This window comes from Homo sapiens, chromosome 7 (genome assembly GCF_000001405.40).
Source record: "Homo sapiens chromosome 7, GRCh38.p14 Primary Assembly".
Taxonomy (NCBI): Eukaryota; Metazoa; Chordata; class Mammalia; order Primates; family Hominidae; genus Homo; species Homo sapiens.
Genome location: NC_000007.14, coordinates 158,201,639 through 158,223,742, shown reverse-complemented (window position 1 = coordinate 158,223,742; position 22,104 = coordinate 158,201,639). Strand labels below are relative to the sequence as shown.

At 38.1% G+C, this 22,104-nt stretch overlaps 1 protein-coding gene across 14 annotated transcripts in view; it reads left to right on the top strand.

The window, feature by feature from the left end:
• PTPRN2 (protein tyrosine phosphatase receptor type N2) overlaps positions 1-22,104 on the top strand; it is a 1,048,768-nt gene that overhangs the window by 364,081 nt on the left and 662,583 nt on the right. For all 14 annotated transcript variants that reach the window (XM_047420678.1, NM_130842.4, XM_047420679.1 and 11 more), the window contains one exon: positions 18,470-18,572. In XM_047420678.1, coding sequence (XP_047276634.1) covers positions 18,470-18,572 — 103 coding nt within the window. The remainder of the gene's footprint in view (positions 1-18,469; positions 18,573-22,104) is intronic.

The window sequence follows — 22,104 nt, the reverse complement described above, 5'->3', positions numbered from 1 at the left end:
TTCAGTGAAAGCTTTTGATGGTTACTCACCATTAAGTACAGTGAAATGTGGGGTTTTGTAGATGTTTATTGTTAGCTTGATAAAGTGCCCCTTGATTTCTATTTTTCTGAAAGTTTTCTTCATGAATGAGTGTTGAATTTTTTAAATGTCTTTTCTGCATCGATTGCTGTAATCATGTGATTTTTTTCTTCTTTAGCCTATTAATATGGTGGATTACATTGATTTGTTTTGAAATAGTGAACCAGCCTTTCATTCCTGGAATAAACCTCATGATGTATCATTATTTTCATATATTGCTGGATTTTATTTGCTAATATTTTGTAAAGGATTTTTGTGTCTACATTTGTGAGGGATTTTGGTCTGTAGGTTTCTTTTTACTGTCTTTGTTTGCTTTTGGTATCGGGTTAATATTAGCTACATAAAATAAATTGGGAACTGTTTCCTCGCCTTCTATTTTCTGGAAGATATTTATGGAATTTGTTTTAATTCCTCTTTAAATGTTTGGTATAATTCTTTGGTGAAACCATCTGGGCCTGATTATTTCTTTCTGGGTAGATATTTAATTATTAATTCAAGTTCCTTAATAGTGTAGAAGTATTCAAATTATTGATTTCACATTGGATGAATTGAGGTAACTTGTGGATTTCAAGGAGTCGATCCATTTCATCTATGTTGTCAGGTTTATGTGTGTAGAGTTGTTTATTCCCTGATTATCCTTTTGATGTTTGCAGAGTCTGTAGTGACTTCCCCTGTTTCTTTGCTTATATTGATAATTTGTGTCTTCTCTCTTGTTTTTTGTTAGTCTTGATAGAGATTTGTCAATTTTACTGATTTTTTTCAAGGAACCAGCTTTCATTGTCATTTATCTTCTCTATTTTTTTCTCACTTAAATTACATTGATTTCTTTTCTTATCCTTATTATTTATTTTCTTCTACTTTATTTGGGTTTATTGTGTTCTCCTTTATTACAGATTCTTAAAGAATTCAGATTATTGATTTGAGACTTTCTCTTTTATTTTTCTTTTGACTTTTGTTTTCGGTTTGAGGGTACATATGCATGGGTGAATTGTGTGTTGTTACAGTTTGGTGTGATAACAATCCTGCCACCCAGGTAGTGAACCTAGTCCCTTATAGCTTTTCAACCCACGTCTTCCTCCCACCCTCTGCCTTTCATAGTCCTCGGCGTCTGTCATCCTCATTTTTGTGTCTGTGTGTACTCCGTGTTTAGTTTCCACTTATAAGTGAGAACACGCAGTATTTGGTTTTCTGTTCCTATATTAATTTGATTAGGATGATGGCCTACAGCTGCATCTATGTTGCTGCAAAGGACATGATTTCATTATTTTTATGGCTGTGTAGTATTCCATGGTGTATGTGTACCGTATTTTCTTTTTCCAGTCCATCATCAGTGGGTATCTAGGTTGATTCCATGTCTTTGCTATTGTGAATAATACCGTGATGAATGTACAGGTGCTTGTGTCTTTTTGGTAGGATGATTTATTTTCCTTTGGCTATATGCCCATACTGGGATTGCTGGGTCGAATGGTAGTTCTGTGTTAAGTTCTCTGAGAAATTTCCAAACTGCTTTCTACACCAGCTGAACTACTTTACATTCCCACCAGCAGTGTATAAGCATTCCCTGTTCTCTGCAACCTTGTCAACATCTGTTATTTTTTGACTTTTTAAAAATATTCATTCTGGCTCATGTGAAATAGTATCTCATTTTGGTTTTGGTTTGCATTTCTCTGATGATTACTAATGATGAACATTTTTCCTACGTTTCTTGGCCGCTTCTATGTCTTCTTTTAAGAAGTGTCTGTTCATGTCTCCTACCCATTTTTTAATGGGGCTGCTTTTTTCTTGTTGAATAATTTAAGTTCCTTACAGATTCTGGATATTAAATTTCTTTTGGATGCTGATATGGTTTGGCTGTGTCCCCACCCACATCTCATCTTGAATTGTAGCTTCCATAATTTCCACGTCTTGTGGGAGGGGACCTGGTAGGAGATAATTGACTCATGGGGCAGTTTCCCCCATATTATTCTCATGTTAGTGAATAAGTCTCATGAGATCTGATGGATCCGAAGGAAACCCTTTCCGCTTGGCATTCATTCTCTCTTTTGCCTGCTGCCATGTAAGACGTGCTTTTCACCTTCCATCATGATTGTGAGGCCTCCCCAGCCACATGGAACTGTGGGTCCATTAAACCTCTTGCTCTTTTAGTTTACCCAGTCTCAAGTGTGTCTTTATCAGCAGTGTGAAAATGGACTAATGCAGATGCATAGTTTGCAAATATTTTTTCCTACCCTATAGGTTGTCTATTTACCTGTTAATAGTTGCTTTTGTTGTTCAGAAGCGCTTTGGTTTAATTAGGTCCCTCTTGTCTTTTTTTTTTTCTTGCAGTTGCTTTTGGAGATGTCATCATTAAATCTTTGCTAAGGCCTGTGTCCAGAGTGGTGTGTCCTACATTTTCTTCTAGGGTTTTTATGGTTTTAGGTCTTACATTTAAATCTTTAAGCCATCTTAAATTGATTTTTGTATATGGTAAAAGGAAGGAGTCAAGTTTCAATCTTCTGCATACGGCTAACCAGCTATCCTAGCACCATTTATTGAATAGGGAGTCCTTTCTCCATTTCTTGTTTTTGTTGACTTTGTTGAAGATCAGATGTTTGTAGGTGTGTGGCTTTATTTCTGGTTTCTCTAACCTGTTCCATTGGTCTATGTGTCTGTTTTTGTACCAGTACCATGCTGTTTTGGTTACTATGGCCTTATAGTATATTTTGAAGTCAGGTAGTGTGATTCCTCCAGCTTTGTTCTTTTTGCTTAGGGTTGCTTTGGCTATTCAGCCTTTTTTTTTTTTTGGATCCATATGAATTTTATAATTCTTTTTTTTTTCTAATTCTGTGAAAAATGATGCTGGTGGTTTGATAGGAATAGCATTGAGTCTGTAAATTGCTTTGGGTAATGTCACCATTTTAACAATATTGATTCTTCCTATCCATGAGCGTGGAATGTTGTTCCATTTGTTTGTATTATCTCTGCAGTGTTTTTTAATTCTTGTAGAGATCTTTCACTTTCTTGGTTAGCTATAACCTTAGGTATTTTATTCTTTTTGTACATGTTGTAAATGGGATTGCATTCTTGATTTGGATTTCAGCTTGGAAATTATTGATGTGTAGAAATGATATTAGTTTTTTAGTTTTTGTTTTGGTTTGCTAAGGGTAAGTGAATTGTATGCTACTGGTTTTTATACATTGATATTTTTTTCCTGAAACTTTACTGAAGTCATTTATTAGTTCTAGAAGTCTTTTGGCAGAGTTTTTAGGGGTTTCTATGTATAGTATATCATCTATGAAGAGAGATAATTTGACTTCCTCTTTTCCTATTTGGATACCTTTTATTTCTTTCCCTTGCCTGACTGCTCTGGCTAGGAATTCCAATACTATGTTGAATAGGAGTGATGAGAGTGGGCATTTTGTTTCATTCCAGTTCTCACAGGAAATGCTTCCAACTTTTGCCTGTTCAATATGATGTTGCCTTTGGGTTTGTAATTGATGGATCTTATTATTTTGAGGCATATTCCTTTTATCTTTGTCCTTTGATGCCTAATTTGTTGAAGGTTTTTAACATGAAGGGATGTTGAATTTTATTGAAAGCCCTTCCTGTATCTATTAAGATGATCATATGGTTTCTGTTTTCAATTCTGTTTAGTGTCATAGAATGATTTAGGGAGGAGTTCCTACTTTTTGGTTTTTTGAAGTAATTTTAGTAGGATTGTTACTAGCTCTGCTTTCTATGTCTGGTAGAATTCAGCTGTGAATTTGTCTGGTTCCGGGCTTTTTTGGTTGGTAGGTTTTTTTTTTATTAGCAATTCAATTTTGAAAGTCATTATTCATCTGTTCAGGATTTGAATTTCTTCCTGGTTCAATATTGCAAGGTTGTATGTTTCTGGGAATTTATTTATTTCTTCAAGGTGTTCTAGAAGAAATGGAAAAAACCCAGAAAACCTAAAAGGTTTTCTTGTAATATCACCGTTGTCATTTCTTATTGTGCTTATTTAGGTCTTCTATTTTTGTTAATCTAGCTAGTGGTCTACCAATCTTATTTATTATTTCAAAAAATGAACTTTCTTTTGTTTGTGTTTTTGTGTCCCAATTTCATTCAGTTCTGCTCTGATTTTGATTTTTTCTTTTCTTCTGCTAGCTTTGGGATTGGTTTGTTCTTTTTTTTTCTAGTTCTTCCAGGTGTAATGTTATGTTGTTAATTTGAGATCTTTCTAACTTTATGATGTAGTTGTTTAGTGTTATAAACTTTCCTTTTAACACTGCTTTAGTTGTGTCCCAAATATTCTGGTATGTTGTGTCACAGTTTTCATTAGTTTCAAATAATTTTTTGATTTCTGCATTAATTTCATTCTTTACCCAAAAGTCATCTAGGAGCAAAATGTTTAATTTTGATGTAACTGGATAGTTTTGAGAGATCTTCTTGTTTTTTATTTGTATTTATATTACATGTGGGCCAAGAGAGTGGTTGGTATGATTTCAATTTTCTTTGGATTTTTTTGAGACTTGCTTTATGGCATGTGGCTGATCTTAGAGTATGTGTCATGTGCAGATAAGAAGAATATATATTCTGTTGTTGTTGGGTAGTCTGTAGACATCTAGAAGACCCAGTTGATCAAGGGTTGAGTTTGAGTCCAGAATATCTTTGTTTTCTGCCTCTATGATCTGTCTAATGCTGTCAAATGGGATATTGAAATCTCCCCCTATTATTGTGTTTATGTCTCTTTATAGGTCTCTAAGAACTTGTTTTATGAATCTGGGTGCCCCAATGTTGGGTGCATAAATATTTAGGGTAGTTAAGTCTTCTTGTTGAATTGAACCCTTTTTCATTATGTAAAGCCCCTCTTTGTTCTTTTTGATCATTGCTGGTTTAAAATCTGCTTCATCTGATATAAGAATAGCAACCTCTGCTCTTTGTTGTTTTCCACTTACAAGATAGATCTTTCTCCATCCCTTTACTTTGAGCCAAAGTGTGTCATTACATGTGAGATGGGTTCTTGAAGACAGCAGACAGTTGGGTCTTGCCTCTTTATCCAACTTGTCAATCTATGCCTTTTAAGTGGGTGTTTAGCCTGTTTACATTCAAGGTTAATATTGATATGTAAGGATTTAATCCTGTCATTTGTGTTGTTAGCTGGTTTTCATGTAAACTTGATTGTATAGTTGCTTTATAGTGCAAGTGAGCTACGTATTTGTGTTTTTGTGGAGGCAGGTATCTTTCTTGTTTCCATGTTTAGCACTCCCTTAAGGACCTTTGTAAAGCGGGTCTAATGATAGTGAATTTCTTTAGTGTTCACTTGTCTAAAAATGATTTTATTTCTTCTTTGCTTATGATGCTTAGTTTTGTGGGATATGAAATCCTTGATTGGAATTTTTTTTCTTTAAGGATGCTGAAAATAGGGCCCCCAGTCTCTTCTGGCTTGTAAGCTTTTTTCTGACATGTCTGCTATCAGCCTGGTGGGTTCTCTTTGTAACTGACCTGCCCTTTCTCTATAGCTGCTTTTAAGAGTTTTTCTTTCACAACAACCTTGGAGAATCTGATGACCATATGCCTTGGGGATGGTCATCTTATATAGTATCTCACAGGGGTTTTCTGAATTCCTTGAATATCATGTCAACCTCTAGTGAGATTGGGAAAATTTTCATGGACTGTATCCTCAACTATGTTTTCCAAGTTGCTTACTCTCTCTCCTTCTCTTTCAGAAATGCCAGTGAGTCATAGTTTTGGTCACTTTACATAATCCCATACTTTTCAGAGGTTTTATTCATTTTTTAACACTCTTTTTTCTTTATTTTTGTCTGCCTGTGTTGATTTGAAAGAACTGCCTTTAAGCTCTAAAATTCTTCTCTCAGCTTGGTCTCTTCTGATGTTAATGCTTCCAATTTTATTATGAAATTCTTATATTGAATTTTAAATTTCAGAAGTTCAGTTTGGTTATTCTTAAAATGGCTATGTTGTCTTTCAACTCTCAAATCATTTCCTTGGATTGAGTTTCAACTTTCTCCTGTATCTCATTGAGCTTCCTTGCCATCTAGACTCTGAATCCTATGTCTGTCATTTCAGTCATTTCAGTTTGATTAAGAACCATTGCTGGGTAGCTAGTGTGTTCATTTGTAGGTAAAAAGACACTCTGGCTTTTAGAACTGCCAGAGTTCTTGTGCTGTTTTCTCATCTGTGAGTGCTGATGTTCTTTTATCCTTTTGAAGTTGCTGTCCTGGGGATAGGGCTTTTTGTTTTTATGTTCGTTATTTCTCATAAGAGTTTTGCTGTTGTGTAAGTTGGATATAGTTGATTGGCTTTGTTTCTGAATTTTTTCATAGGGCCGAGGTTCAGCTTGGAACTCCTGGGCTGTATGCTCTAACCCTGGTGACCTGGGACCAGGCCTGTGGCTTTGTCCTCTGGCCCCTTGAGCTTTAGTACCAGCTTCACTGGGAGGTCAAGGTGCAGCTAGGCTGCTGGTGAAAGCACTCTATCAGGGGCCACCAGCTAAACTGCCCCATTGGTGGTTGCTGGCAAAAGTGCCCTGGCAGGGTGGGTGGGGGCCACTGGCAAAAGTGCTCCAGTAGGGCCCTCTTTTTTAATGTAAGCATTTAGTGCTAAAAATTTCACTTAGCACAGTTTTAACTGTATGTGCCATGAATTTTGATATGTTGTGCTTTTATTTTAATTACATGTAATGTATTATCTTCTCTTTGACCCATGGATTATTTTATAACATGTTGTTATATTTCCCCATTATCTTTCTGTTATTGATTTCTACCTTGACTATATTGTGGTCAGAGAACACACTCTGAATGATTATAATTTTGCTGAAGTTTGTTTTATGGCCCAGCATTAAGTCTATCATGGTTTGTGTTCTATGAGCAATTGAAAAGAACATATACTCTGCTCTTGTTGGGTACAGTGTTCCATAAATGTTCATTAGATCCTGTTGATTAATGGTATTGTTGAGTTCTTTTCTATCTTTGTTGATTTTTTGTTTAGTTGCTCTATCTATATAATTCATATATAGGATTGCTGTATCTTCTTAGTGGGTTGACCTATTTATAACTCTGTAATTCCCTTCTCTGTAGCCATTTTCTTTACTCTAAATGTTAACTTATCTGATATTAATATAGCTATTGCTTCCATCCTTTGATTAATACTTACATGATATATTTTTAAAAATATTTTTACTTTCAACCATCCTATATCATTTTATTCAAAGTGAGCTTCATATAGTGTATAGTTGAGTCTTTTTTTAAAAAAAACCCACTCAGCCAGTGTTTTCATTGTCATATTTAGCCCATTTACATTTAATGTAATTATTAACATGTTAGGATTTAAAACTCATTTAATTTTGTATTTTCTACTTGTTCTTGTATTTTTTGTTTCTTTGTTTCTTCCTCCCTTCCTTTGAGTTACTTTAATGATTTTGGAAATCCACTTTATCTATGTTTTTGAGTGTATGTCTTTGATAGCTTTCTTTTATTTATTGTTCTAGATATAATATTCATATACATATTCATAACATTAAAGTTTACTGGTGTCATAATTTTACCAGTTTGGGTGAAATATAGAAACTTTACCTTCCTTTATGACATTTTACTTATGCCCCTCATTTATATTATAATTGTTTAAATATTTCCTCTATGTGCATTTAAAATGACATAAGACAGTAGTATGGTGTTTAATTGAACTGTCAAGCATAAAACTCAAGGAATGCTTATTGTACTTACTCAGGTTGTTGCTTGCCATGTTCTTGCATTCTTCCTGATGCTCCAAAATTCCTTTTTTTATATTTCTCTTCTATATGGAGACATAAATTTAGTAATTCTTTCAGAGTTGGTCTGGTGAAAAACACAATTTTCCTTTTTCTGGGGATATCTTTATTTCCCCCTGATTCCTGAAGGATAACTTCACTGGGTATCTGGATTGATAGACTTGTGGGATTCTGGGTTGACATATTTTTCTTTCAGCACTTGAAAAATGTGCTGTTTCCTTGTGGCCTCCATTGTTTCTGATAAGAAATCCCCTGTCATTTGAATTGTGTTTTCCTTGTAGGTAAGTTGTCATTTTTCTCTGGCTGCTGTTAAGATTTTTCTTTGTAAGTTTTCAGAAACTTAATTATTATGTGTCTTGGAGGAGATTTGGGTTTACCCTGTTTGGGGTATGCTTAGCTTCTTAAAGTTTTAGGTTCATGTTTCTTCCAAAATTGAGAAGTTTTCAGCCATTATTTTTCTGAGTACCTTTTCAGACCTGTCATCTTGTCTTCTTTCACTCCTCTTTTTGAAACTCTGATAGCATGAATATTATATCTTTGGTTATAGCCCCGCAGTTGCTGAAGCTTTATCATGTTTTTCTACTATTTTCTCTGTGTTGTTGACATTGAGTAATTCCTACTGTTTTATCCTCACTTCACTGATTCTTTCCTCTGTCTCTCCATCCTTCTGTTATGTGCATCCACTGCGTTGTTTATTTTGGTTATTGTATCTTTCAGTAATAATATTTCAATTTGGCTTTTATTTACATCATCTATTTTCTGAGACATCCTACTTTTTCATTTGTTTCAAGTGTGTTCATAATTGCTCATTGAAGCATTTTTATCGTAACTGGTTTAAAATCTTTCTCAGGCAATTTTAACATCTCGGTCATCTCAGTGTTGGTTTCTGTGGATTGTCTCTTTTCTATTTATTTTGTGATCTTCTTTGTTCTTTGTATAACCAGTTATTTTCTTTTGAAATCTGGACATTTTTGTATTATGTCATGATTCTGGATCTCATTTAAACCTTGCATTTTAACTGTCTCTTTTTGGACACTCCTCTTCTGGGGGTAAGGGGTGGTGGTGGTGATTCCTTGTAACTGACAGGGAGATGGAAGTCTAGATTCCCCAGGAGGCCTCTGTTGATACCTGAAGGTGGGGTCTTTTTACTGATTGGTTAGGGAGAGGGGTGGGAGTTTCAACTTCCCAGATGGTCTCTGCTGGCACTGCAGGGGTTGTGGTAATTACAACCCAATGGAGATGAAAGTTCTGGATCCCTACTTGGCCTTCTCTGACACTACCTGGTAGGCCTGAGGGGAGGCCTTATTACAGCCTCATGAAAGAGGAAGTCTAGATCCCCATTTGGCCTTTGTTGGCATGGGTAGGGAGAGGCTGTACTTTTTTCTGTGGTGTTTTGCTGGGGTAGAGCTGTTAATATCTAATATTTTTCTGTCTTGCTGAGTTGATTCTTTCCTGACTCCTTGATTAGAGAGAGGCTGCTTTAGTTGTGTGTGTGTGTGTGTGTGTGTGTGTGTGTGTGTACACGCTGGTGTTTCCGGATTGCGGCCTCTTTGACTCCAAGTCTGAGGTACCTGAGGCAAAAAGAAAACCCAGGGAATCCACCACCATGTCCTTCTCTGCTCTGCCTTCGTATTGCCATCCTTCAGAGTCTTATGCTTGTTTTACGTATGCTCAGAGATTTTAGTTGTACTTAGTGGGAAGACGTATGTCATCTCTGGGAGTGGATTCCTTCTTCCCAGGGTTATATTTTCTCCAAGATATGCCACGGACAGAAGTTCATAGGAGATGCTTAAACTCCCATACCTCTGCATTGTTTTGTTTGTTTTTTATATCTAAGAGCACAGTTTCTTCTGACTTCCGGGAAGGCTGAGATGGCTGGGCTAAGGTATACAGGGTCCTCTCAGACTGCCCAGTACAGATGATTCTGAGTAGTTGACCAACTGTTGTTCTGGAAGAACTGAGCCTTTATCATAGATCCCAAAGTTGACATAACTCAGACTTATATGATTTTTAGATAAAAATTTTTAAATTTTAGTTATTTAAATTTTATAAATGATATTTTTCATGAAAAGTTCTTTTTGTGCCATTGATTTTCTGTTTCCTGATAAATATTAATATTAAGAGAATCCCTTTTAGGAATGGCGTGGTTAAAATATCCTTATTTCTAAATCCACAATAATAGATATTATACTAACATTGCAAATGTGCTTTCAGTTGAGTATACTCCCAAGAATGGATCAGAAATAGCTATATAAACAAAAGTACATTTCATAGTGGGTGTTTTTAAGTTGCTTTGGCAAATGGGATAGACTTGATTATTATTAAGTACATTTAATCTTAAATTGGATAGTAGTGAGTGTGGGGCCTGTTTTCTGCAGCGACCTATACTCTAAGTGATATATTCCAACTAGAGCAGCTTAGAGTAAGTTGGAGGCCATCCTAATGGTGAATTTTCCTATCATTCTTCACTTCAGGTAATGCCATTTAGGCTTTTGAGATTTAGAAATATGACAATTGCTTTAATTTGCCGTCTATAACATTTAAAAAATCTAGATTTGCATGTGAAAAAAATATTTGTGTGTTCATGAAGATAGCTTATATTTACTGAGCTCTTTTAATTCCATCCAGAATATGTGGTTCTCATCATGTTCTGGACTTCCTACGCCACACACACACACACACACACACACACACACACACACACACACACAAGCACAGAGCCATCCTGATTTGAAGATTTTGGTAATGTGTTTTTGTACAGGGCATAAAAATATATCTCTGTAATTACATGATATTTAGTGATTAGATAATTATGGATAATTGCATGGGGTAGTTCTAAGTGCTAAAGTGTTACCATAAGATCTAACATGTACAAATTGCATAATAATTATTCTTGAGAGTTATTTGGTAATTTTGAGCATAATTATCATGTGATCCACAGTGCATGTAATTAATGCATAATCACATGGATTTTGCCTTCATAACTACTTCACCCTTGTTATAAAGCTCTTTGTCATAACATTTGAGTATAAATATAATGTAATTGGCTCCCGGATACAGTACATTAAGCCCCATGATAATTGCTTTCACAGTAACAATACCCCTTATTCCATTCCAATTGCTGTCTTTTAAGATTTTGTTAGGAAGAACAAAATACCTAAGATATGGTGGCGGGCAGGTAGAGGAGTGGGTGAGTGGCGGGTACTATGTGCTTATTGTGGATGAGGAGTATCTTTGCTGTGACCACAATATTTCCATGTAGATGGAAGATGTTTCCATCTTTCATAGTAGATAAAAATCTGTCTTCTAACTAAACTTGTATTTGGTGTAAGGCTCCTTGCTGTCTAGCCATAGTCAGCACCCATTAAGTCTATTTTTTTAATTTTTAATTTTTGTGGGTACACAGGTGTATATATTTATGGGGTACATGGGATATTTTGATACAGGCATACAATGCATAATAATCACGTCAGGGTAAATGGGATGTTCATCACCTGAAGTATTTATCCTTTCATTGTGTTACAAATAATCCAGTTATACTCTTAGTTATTTGTAAATGTACAATAAATTATTGTTGACTGTAGTTACCCTGTTGTGCTATCAAGTACCAGATCTTATTCATTCTACTTAACTGTATTTTTGTACTCATTAACCATTCCCACTTGCCCCCCGCCCCCTGCCAATTTCCTTCCCAGTAACAATGGTTACTTCCTTCTGGTAGCTGTTGTTCTACTCTCTATAAGTTCAGTTGTTTTAAGTTTTAGTTCCCACAAATCGGTGAGAACATGCAAAGTTTGTCTTTCTATGTCTGGCTTATTTCACTTAACATAATGATTTTCAGTTCCATCCATGTTGTTGCAAATGAAAGAATCTCACCTTTTTATGGCTGAATAGTACTCCACTGTGTAGAGGTACCACATTTTTAAAAATCCATTCATCTGTTGATGGACATTTAGGTTGCTTCCAAATGTTCACTGTTGTTAACAGTGCTGCAATAAACATGGGAGTGTGGATATCAATTTGATACACTGATTACCTTTTGGGTATAAACCTAGCAGTGGGATTGCTGGATTATATTATAGCTCTATTTTCAGCTTTTTAAGGAACCTCCAAACTACTCTCCATAATAGTTGTACTAATTTACAATTCTACCAACAGTGTGTATGAGGGTTCCCTTTTTCCTATATCCTCGCCAGCATTTGTTATTGCCTGTCTTTTGGACAAAAGCCATTTGAACTGGGTGAGATGATATCTCATTGTAGGTTTGATTTGCATTTCTCTGATGATCAGTGATGTTGAGCACCTTTTCATACGCCTGTTTGCCGTCTGAATGTCTTTTTTGAGAAATGTCTATTCAGAGTTATATCTATTTGCCCATTTAAAGTTAGATTATTGAAATTTTTTTCTACAGAGTTGTTTGAGCTTTTTATACATTCTGGTTATTAATCCCTTGTCAGATGAATACTTTGCAAATATTTTCTCCTATTCTGTGGGTATCTCTTCACTTTGTTGATTGTTTCCTTTGCTGTGCAGAGGTTTTTTCACTTGATGTGATCCCATCTGTCCAGTTTTGCTTTGGTTGCCTGTGCTTGTGGAGCATTACTCAAGTTGCTTTGGCTGCCTGTGCTCATGGGGTATTACTAAATAAATCTTTACACTATCCAGTGTACTAGGGAGTTTTCCCAGTGTTTTCTTTTAGTCGTTTCATAGTTTGAGGTCTTAGATTTATGTCTTTAATCCATTTTTATGTGATTTTTGTATAGGAAGAGATAGGAGTCTAGTTTCATTCTTCTGCATGTGGTTATCCAGTCTTCCCAGCACCATTTATAGAAGAGACTGTCCTATCCCCAGGACAGTTGACGATTGTTGACGATTTTTGCATCAATATTCATCAGGGATATTGGCGTGAAGTTTTATTTTTTGATGTGTCTTTGGTTTTGGTATCAGGGTAATACTGGCTTAATGGAATGAATTTGGAAGTGTTTCCTCCTCCTCTATCTTTTGGAATAGTTTGAGCAAGATTCTTCTTTAAATATTTGGTAAAATTCAGCAGTGAAGTGATCAAGTCCCAGGCTTTTCTTTGCTTGGAGACTTTATTACAGCTTCAATCTCATTATTTGTTATTGATCTGTTCAGGTTTTTGATTTCTTCATGGTTCAGTCCTGGTAGATTCTATGTGTCTAGGAATTTATCCATTTCTTCTGGGTTTTCTAATTTACTGGCATGTAGTTGCTCATAGTAGCCTCTAATGATCCTTTGAATTACTGCAGTATTAGTTGTAATGTCTCCTTTTTCATCTCTGATTTTATTTATTTGGGTCTTTTCTCTTTTTTTCTTAGACTAGAAAATGGTTTGTCAATTTTATCTTTTCAAAAACCAACTTTTTGTTTCATTGATCTTTTGTATTGTTTTCTTCATTCCAACTTGATTTATTTCTGCTCTGATCTTTATTATTTCTTTTCTTTTACTAATTTTGGGTTTGGTTTGCTCTTGCTTTTCTAGTTCTTTAAGATGCATCACTTTGGGAGGCCGAGGCGGGCGGATCACGAGGTCAGGAGATCGAGACCATCCTGGCTAACACGGTGAAACCCCGTCTCTACTAAAAATACAAAAAATTAGCCAGGCGTGGTAGCGGGCGCCTGTAGTCCCAGCTACTCGGGAGGCTGAGGCAGGAGAATGGCGTGAACCCGGGAGGCGGAGCTTGCAGTGAGCCGAGATCGCGCCACTGCACTCCAGCCTGGGCGACAGAGCGAGACTCCGTCTCAAAAAAAAAAAAAAAAAAAAAAGATGCATCATTAGATTGTTTGAGGGTATTCTCTTTTTTCTCGATGTAGTTGCTTATAGCTATAAACTTTCCTCTTAGTACTGCTTTTGCTGCATCCCACAGGTTTTTGGTATGTTGTGTTTGTATTATTATTTGTTTCAAGAAATCTCTAAATTTTCTCCTTAATTTCCTCATTGACCCACTGGTCATTCAGAAGCATATTGTTTAATTTCCATGTGTTTGTATAGTTTCCAAAATTTTCCCTGTTATTGATTTCTAGTGTTATTCCATTGTGGTCAGAGAAGATACTTGATATAATTTCAGTTTGTTTTTGAATTTTTAAAGATGCATTTTTTTGCCATAATGTATGGGCTATTCTTGAGAATTATTCATGTGTTGAGGAGAAGAATGTGGATTTCATAGCCATTGAATGAAATGTTCTGTAAATGTCAATTCAGTCCATTTGGTTAACAGTGCAGCTTGGTCAATATATCTTCGTTGAATTTCTGTCTCAATGATCTGTCCAGTGCTGAAAGTGGCATGTGGAAGTCTTCAGCTGTTACTGTATTGGGGTCTGTCTCTTGCTTTAACTCTAATAAAATTTGTTTTATATATCTGGATGCTCCAGTGTTGGGTACATATATATTTACAATTGTTATGTCCTCTTGCTCAATTTACCCCTTTATCATTATGACCTTCTTTGTCTCTTTTGCTAGTTTTGTCTTGAAATCTATTTTGTCTGATACAAGTACTGCTACTCTTGCTCTTTTTTGGTTTCCATTTGCACGGATTATCTTTTTCCATCCCTTTCTTTTTAGTCTATATTTGTCTTTATAGGTGAAGTGTGTCTTTTATAGGCAACAGATGATTGGGTCTTTTTTTTAATCCATTCAACCACTCTGTGTGTTTTGATTGGAGAGTTTAGTCCATGTGTATTTGTTATTATTGATAGGTAAGAACTTACTCTTGCCATTTTGTTATTTGTTTTCTGATTGTTTTGTGGTCTTCTCTTTCTTATTTCTTTCCTTACTTTTTTTTTTAAGTGAAAGTGATTTTCTTTGGTGGTATGTTTTAATTTCTAGCTTTTTACTTTTTGTTGTATCTGTTTATGTTTTTTGATTTGAGGTTACAATAAGGCTTGCAAATAACATCTTATAACCCATTATTTTAAACGGATGACAACTTAACATTGATTACATAAGCAAACTAACAAACCAGCACAGAGAAAACTAATAAAAACTCTACACTTTAGCTTCATCCCCCTACTTTTTAACTTTTTGTTGTTTCTATTTATATCTTTATATCTGAAAAGTTGTTGGAGTTATTTGATAAGTTCATCTTTTAGTCTTTTAACTCCAGATATGAGCAGTTTACACACCACAATTACAGTGTTATGATATTCTGTGTTTTTCTGTGTACTTACTATTACCAGTGAGTTTTGTACCTTTAGATGATTTCTTACTGCTCACTAACATTCTTTTATTTCAGACGGAAGAAATCCCTTTAGCATTTCTTATAGGACAGGTCTGCTGTTGATGGAATCCTTCAGCTTTTGTTTGTCTGGGAAAGTATTTTTCCTTCATATTTGAAATGCATTTTTGTTGGATATACAATTTCAGAATAAAAGGGTTTCTTTCCTTTAACACTTTAAATAACAATCCCGTTTCCTGGCCTGTAAAGTTTCCACTGAAAAGTCTGCTGCCAGATGTACTGCAGCTCCATTGTATTTTTGTTTGTTTGTTTATTTTCTTTTGCAGATTTTAGGATTCTTTCTTCATTCCTGACCTTTGGGAGTTTGATAATTAAATGTCTTGAGGTAGTCTTATTTGGGTTGAATCTGTTTAGTGTTCTTATAGCCTTCCTATACTTGAACACTGACATCTTTCTCTAGGTTCGAGAAGTTCTCATTATTATCCTTTCAACTAAACTTTCTACCTCTTTCTCTCTCTCCCTCCTCTTTAAGGGTGATAAATCTTAGATTTGTCTTTTTGAGGCTATTTTCTAGATCATGCAGGTGTGCTTCATTTTTTAAAATCCTTTTTTCTTTGGTCTCCTCTGACGGCATATTTTCAACTAGCCAGTCTTCAAGCTCACTAATTCTTTGTCTTGCTTGGTCAACTCTGCTGTCAAGAGAGTCTGAGGCATTCTGCAATGGGTCAGTTATGTTTTTCAACTCCAGAGATTTTGCATGATTGTTTTTAATTATTCTAATTTCATTGTTAAGTTTATCGGATAGGATTCTGATTGTCTTTTCTATGTTATCTTGAATTTCACTGAATTTTTTTAAAACAACTATTTTGAATTCTTTGTCTGAAAGGTAACATATCTATCCCTGTCTCTCCAGGATTGGTCCCTGGTGCCTTATTTAGTTCGTTTGGTGAGGTCATGTTTTCCTGGATAGTCTTGATGCTCTTGGATGTTTGTTGGTGTCTGAGTTAGGTATTTATTGTAGTCGCTAAAATCTCGGCTTGTTTGTATTCATCCTTCTTGGGAAGGCTTTCCAGGTATTTGAAAAGACTTTGCCCACTTTTTGATGGGGTTGTTTTTTTCTTGTAAATTTGTTTTGAGTTCATTGTAGATTCTGGATATTAGCCCTTTGTCAGATGAGTAGGTTGCGAAAATTTTCTCCCATTTTGTAGGTTGCCTGTTCACTCTGATGGTAGTTTCTTTTGCTGTGCAGAAGCTCTTTAGTTTAATTAGATCCCATTTGTCAATTTTGTCTTTTGTTGCCATTGCTTTGTAAACTAGTTCAACCATTGTGGAAGTCAGTGTGGCGATTCCTCAGGGATCTAGAACTAGAAATACCATTTGACCCAGCCATCCCATTACTGGGTATATACCCAAAGGACTATAAATCATGCTGCTATAAAGACACATGCACACGTATGTTTATTGCGGCATTATTCACAATAGCAAAGACTTGGAACCAACCCAAATGTCCAACAATGATAGACCGGATTAAGAAAATGTGGCACATATACACCATGGAATACTATGCAGCCATAAAAAATGATGAGTGCATGTCCTTTGTAGGGACATGGATGAAATTGGAAACCATCATTCTCAGTAAACTATCGCAAGAACAAAAAACCAAACACCGCATATTCTCACTCATAGGCGGGAATTGAACAATGAGATCACATGGACACAGGAAGGGGAACATCACACTCTGGGGACTGTTGTGGGGTGGGGGGAGGGGGGAGGGATAGCATTGGGAGATATACCTAATGCTAGATGACGAGTTAGTGGGTGCAGCACACCAGCATGGCACATGTATACGTATGTAACTAACCTGTACAATGTGCACATGTACCCTAAAACTTAAAGTATAATAATAAAAAATAAATAAATTAAAAAAAAAAAAGAAAAGACTTTGGTTCTGTGATCTACGTTTTTAATCCCTGCAGCCATATCTGCATTAGGGGCCACTCAAAGCCCAGTAATTTCATGGCTGTTTCAGACTCACAGATGTATCACCTTGGCAGTCTTGGATACAATCTAGAAGAATTTTGTGGATTACCAGGCAGACTTTTTTTCTCTTACATTCTCCGAGACAAACGAACGGACGGTCTCTCTCTCTCCCCCCCTCCCCGAGCTTCCTGGAGCTGGGTGACGGGTGACACAAGCACCTCTGTGGCCACCCCACCACTAGGACTGTACCAGATCAGACCTGAAGCCAGGACATCTCTGAGTCTTACCCAAGGCCCATGGGGTACTGCCTGGGTACCACTGTTGATTATTCAGGGCCCAAAGGCTCTGTAGTCAGGAGATGATGAATCCTTTCAGTACTGGGACCTTCCCTTCAAGGCAGTGGGTTTTCCTTTGGCCCAAGGTGTGTCTAGAAATGTCACCTGGGAGCTAGGGCCTGGAATGGGGGCCTCATGACTCTGCCCAGTGCCCTATCCTACTTGGCTGAGCAGTTATCTAAGTTGTAAGATAAAGTCCTCTTTACTCTTCCCTCTCCTCTCCTCAAGGAGAAGGAAGGAGTCTCTTTTGGAGCTGTGAGCTGTGCTGCCTAGGGTTGAGGGAAGGGTGACACTAGCACCCTTAGTTGTGCCAGCTAGTACCTTACTAGGTTGTCTGCACCCCAAGTCCAGTGGCTACAAGCCAAGCACAGCACCAGGACTTGCCCAGGAATTGTAGTCCTTCCATCATAGGCAGCCTTCAAGTTTATTTAGGACCCCAGAGCACTTTAGCCCATGGTGGTGAGGCTTGTCAGAACTCAGATTCTGACCACTGGGATGGGTGGTACTGCTCTGTCTAGGGCTGGTCTAAATATTCCCTCCATGGGCTCTGGTTGAGTTTTGCCTGTTGTTTTTACTGTGACAGGGCAGCACCGAGTTCCAATACCAAGTCCCACTATCACTGTGCTCTCTCTCCCAAGTGCATGCGTTCTCTCTCTGGGGCACACAGCCACTGCAGGGGGATGGGTGAGGGGTGACATCAGCAATTCCAAATGATCTTTTCCACCCTCTTCAGTGCCTCTTTCAATGATATGGAGTTAAAACCAGGTACTGTGACCACTCACCTGAAATTTGGTTCGTATGAAGGTGCTTTGCTGTGCGGACAGTTGTTCAATTTGGTGTTCCTACAGGGAGGATGATTGGTAGAGGCTTCTATTTGGCCAGCTTTCTCCACTCTCACCCAAGCCTTTTTATTACTATTAATGCAGCAGAGCATCAGTTTTCTTTTTGGCCTAGAAGTTTCAGAAAGCTGGAATTTCTGTAAGGAGATCTTGATAAACTGCAGTGAGAGGGAGGCTTACTTTGCTGATGGGACCATCAACTTAATGCTGAAATGCAACTAATTGTGAGACTGAAGCAAGAGCTTTGGCTAAATTTCCAAAATGATGACATAATTTTTGCAATTTTTGTCCACAGGTTTCACGTGGCAGGATGACTATACTCAGTATGTGATGGACCAGGAACTTGCAGACCTCCCGAAAACCTACCTGAGGCGTCCTGAAGCATCCAGCCCAGCCAGGTAAGTGTGGACGTGGCTTGTTGCTCCTTGCTCCCAGGACACAGTCCATAGCCATTACACTTATTATTTGTTTGTTTGTTTGTTTTAATGTAGCAAAGCACCCACCATCTTTCTGGTGCAGACGTTTCAGAAAGTTAGGATGTCTGTAAGGAAAAGTTTGGTTCCCATGAGAGAAAGCGATATTGGGGTGACCCTCCAGTAAGAGACATGCCCAGGGGTTCTTCGTTTTTCCATGAGACTCTTAGAAAAATCCTGCATCTTCAAGGCCTTGGTCGAAAGCAGATAAGTCGAGAATTCTCATTTCTCAGTAAGAAATTATTTTTGCTTTAGACAAAAAACAGAATTGTGAAAGTCTTTATCATCCTTTCCCAGAGCATAGCAACGTATACTGAGCTAAATATATTGTTCCATATTATCTTATTTTGTACTCAAAACTATGTGGTAATTACTAATGTCATACAAACGATGTGGTAATGTCATACATACCATGGACTAATGTCATACCGATTCTTGAAAGTGAGGAAATTGAGTCATAGGGAGGTTAAAAAATTAGTCTAAAGACAAACCACAGTAAGAAAGCTGGCACTGTCGGATTCCTGAGCCATTGTGCTATTTTTCATGTTTTTTAAAAAAAAACATGAAAATGACCTTTCCTAAAGGTTTAGTTTGAAAAGTTCATTTTTCCCTGACAGACAATTCTAGAGTCATAGTCTTTAGAAAGATTCCAGTAACACAAAATTTAGATATCTGCTTTCATGCTCATGGCCATCTGATAGGGAAAGCAGTTAAGTGTCCTGGCAGGATCAAGAGTGAGAACGTGTGGAGAACTGGTAACCGTCCCCCAGCACGCCGCACACACTGAGGGCGCGGGTTGCCTCTTTCCTCAGAACGCGGCGCACACTGAGGGCGGGGGCTGCGTCTTTCCCCAGCAAGCGGCGCACACCGAGGGCGGGGGCTTCGTCTTCACCACACGGCGCACGCTGAGGGCGGCGGCTGCTTCTTTCCCCAGAACGCCGCACACACTGAGGGCGGGGGCTGCGTCTTTCCCCAGCAAGCGGCGCACACCGAGGGCGGGGGCTTCGTCTTCACCACACGGCGCTCGCTGAGGGCAGGGGCCGTGTCTTTCCCCAGAACGCGGCTCACGCTGAGGGCAGGGGCTGCGTCTTTCCCCAGAACATGGCGCACACTGAGGTTAGGGGCTGCGACTTCAGCACGCGGCGCACACTGAGGGCAGGGGCTGCCTCTTTGTGCTTCTGTGCCTGGTGTATCTACCTTTAATACCTCCTTTATCAAAGAGAATGTGCTGTTATAGTCTGTAAGACTTTTCTGTAGGAAACCAAACAAAAACCCACCAAAATGTTTTCAACTTGAGCTGTGTTGAATTTCTATTTTGGATGTGTTCAAACTCCTTATACTCCTCTCTAAATTCCACTGGGGGCGTTGTGCACTGCCCCAATGACCTTGAACTCCATCAAGTATAGGGATGGGTTGGACGGCCAAGAAGGGCAAAAAATAGAGGGCTGGAAGAATTGGGAAAACCAAGCAAGGGATGGCTCCTCCTCACTCTGGGGGGGTGCAGAACAGGGCAAACAGAAGCTGCCAAACGTGGGAGGAAAGGGGCGCCACATAGAGAACAATCCAGGGAGGACCTGCCTCTGAGAAATCAAACTCAGCAACAACCATGGAGAGGCGCCTGGATTGTGCCTTCTAAACAACGTTAAATGTGGTCATTTGGAAAAATTGCCAGTTTTTATTATTTAAAACAGTGCCAGTTTTATTATGAAAAATGGTATGTTATCTTTGTTTTATGAGTTATAAGTGAGATTAAAAGTTTAAAATACATATGCTTTGAGATTGGAATTTTCTCCTTCCTTCCTCCCTTCCTTCCTTCCTTTTTCTTTCCTCTTTCTTTCCTCTTCTTTTTTTTTTTTTTTTTTTTTTTTTTGGCTCTTGCTTCATCACCTAGGCCGGAGTGCAGTGGCACGATCTTGGCTCACTACAGCCTCCACCTCTTGGGTTCAAGCAATTCTCTTGCCTCAGCCTCCTGAGTAGCTGGGACTACAGGTGCGCGCCACCATACCCAGCTAATTTTTGTATTTTTAGTAGAGATGGGGTTTTGCCGTGTTGGCCAGGCTGGTCTTGAACTCCTGACCTCATGATCCGCCCACCTTGGCCTCCCAGAGTGCTAGGATTACAGGCATGAGCCACCACATCTGGCCGAGATTGGAATTTTCTTTGTGAATTTTCTGTATATGGTCTTTGTCTGTATAAAAAGGACTTTTTGTATTTTTCTGTTTGTTTCTTTTATTATAGGTTCTTTATATTTCAGGCTAGTAACTTTTCACATATTATATTTTGTAAAAATATTTTTATCAGCCTGGAACGTAGATGGCACTAGCTATGGTTACAAATAAAAACAGCTCTTACCATTCTGTAGGTTGGATTTCTAAATTCTTTCTTTGTGAGTGTTGAACCCAGGCAAGAGCAATTATCCCTGCCCACAAAACAGAGGCCCATTTAGGGAGGCATTGGCTGGATATTCTCCAGACTCCTTTCCTCCACACTCCCTTCCCCTGCCCTGCTATGGGCTTCATGCCTGTAAGCTCCATCGGGTCCTCTGGGCCTCTGGCTTTGGTGGGGTTTGGAACAAGCTGCACCCAGCATGGAGGGCAGAGGAGTCTGGGCATGTTCCCCAGCTCTTCCCCAGGCCCAGACATGACTGCCTGGGGACAATCACTCCCTCTCATGCTGTCCCTCCTGCTGACCCAAAGGCCTCCCCAGTCCTGCCGGTGCCTTCCTCATGCCCGACTCTGACACCTACTGAGGGAGGTTCCCATGAGGCCCTGCCCAGGAGAGAATAAGAAACAGTGTGGCCCATCGTCTTCCTCAACAGTTGCCCACAGTATTTCCTCATGGAAATGTGATCGTTTTTCTTTTTTTCCTAACATTTCTGGAAAACTTCTTTTACCATTGATCTACTTTCTAGTATATTTTTTAGGAATGTTCTTCATTTATAGAGTATTTTCATTGTCTTCCACGATTATTGGTAAAATATGCTTACACTGTTGTGTGATTTGGGATATTTATAAGCTATCCTTTAATAGCGATTTCCACATTTGTAAATGCAGTGTAGTGGATGCTATTCTCTTGTTGATGAAAAGAGTCAAACTCTGTAAAATATTTTTAGAGATGTATTCTGAGCCAAATATGAGTGGCCATAGCCCGTGATGCAGCCCTCAGGAGGCCCTGAGAACATGGGCCCAGGGTGCTCAGGGTGCAGCTTGGTTTTATAGATTTTAGGGAGGCGTGAGACATCAATCAAATACATTGGTTTGGTTCAGAAGGTGGGACAACTCAAAGCAGGGGCTTCCAGGCTATAGGTGAATTCAAACATTTTCTGGTTGACAACTCGTTGAGTTTATCTGAAGACCTGGGATCAATAGAAAATGTTCCAGTTAAGATAAAGGATTGTGGAGACCAAGTTTTATTGTGCAGAGGAAGCTCTCAGTTAGCAGACTTCAGAGAAAGCAGG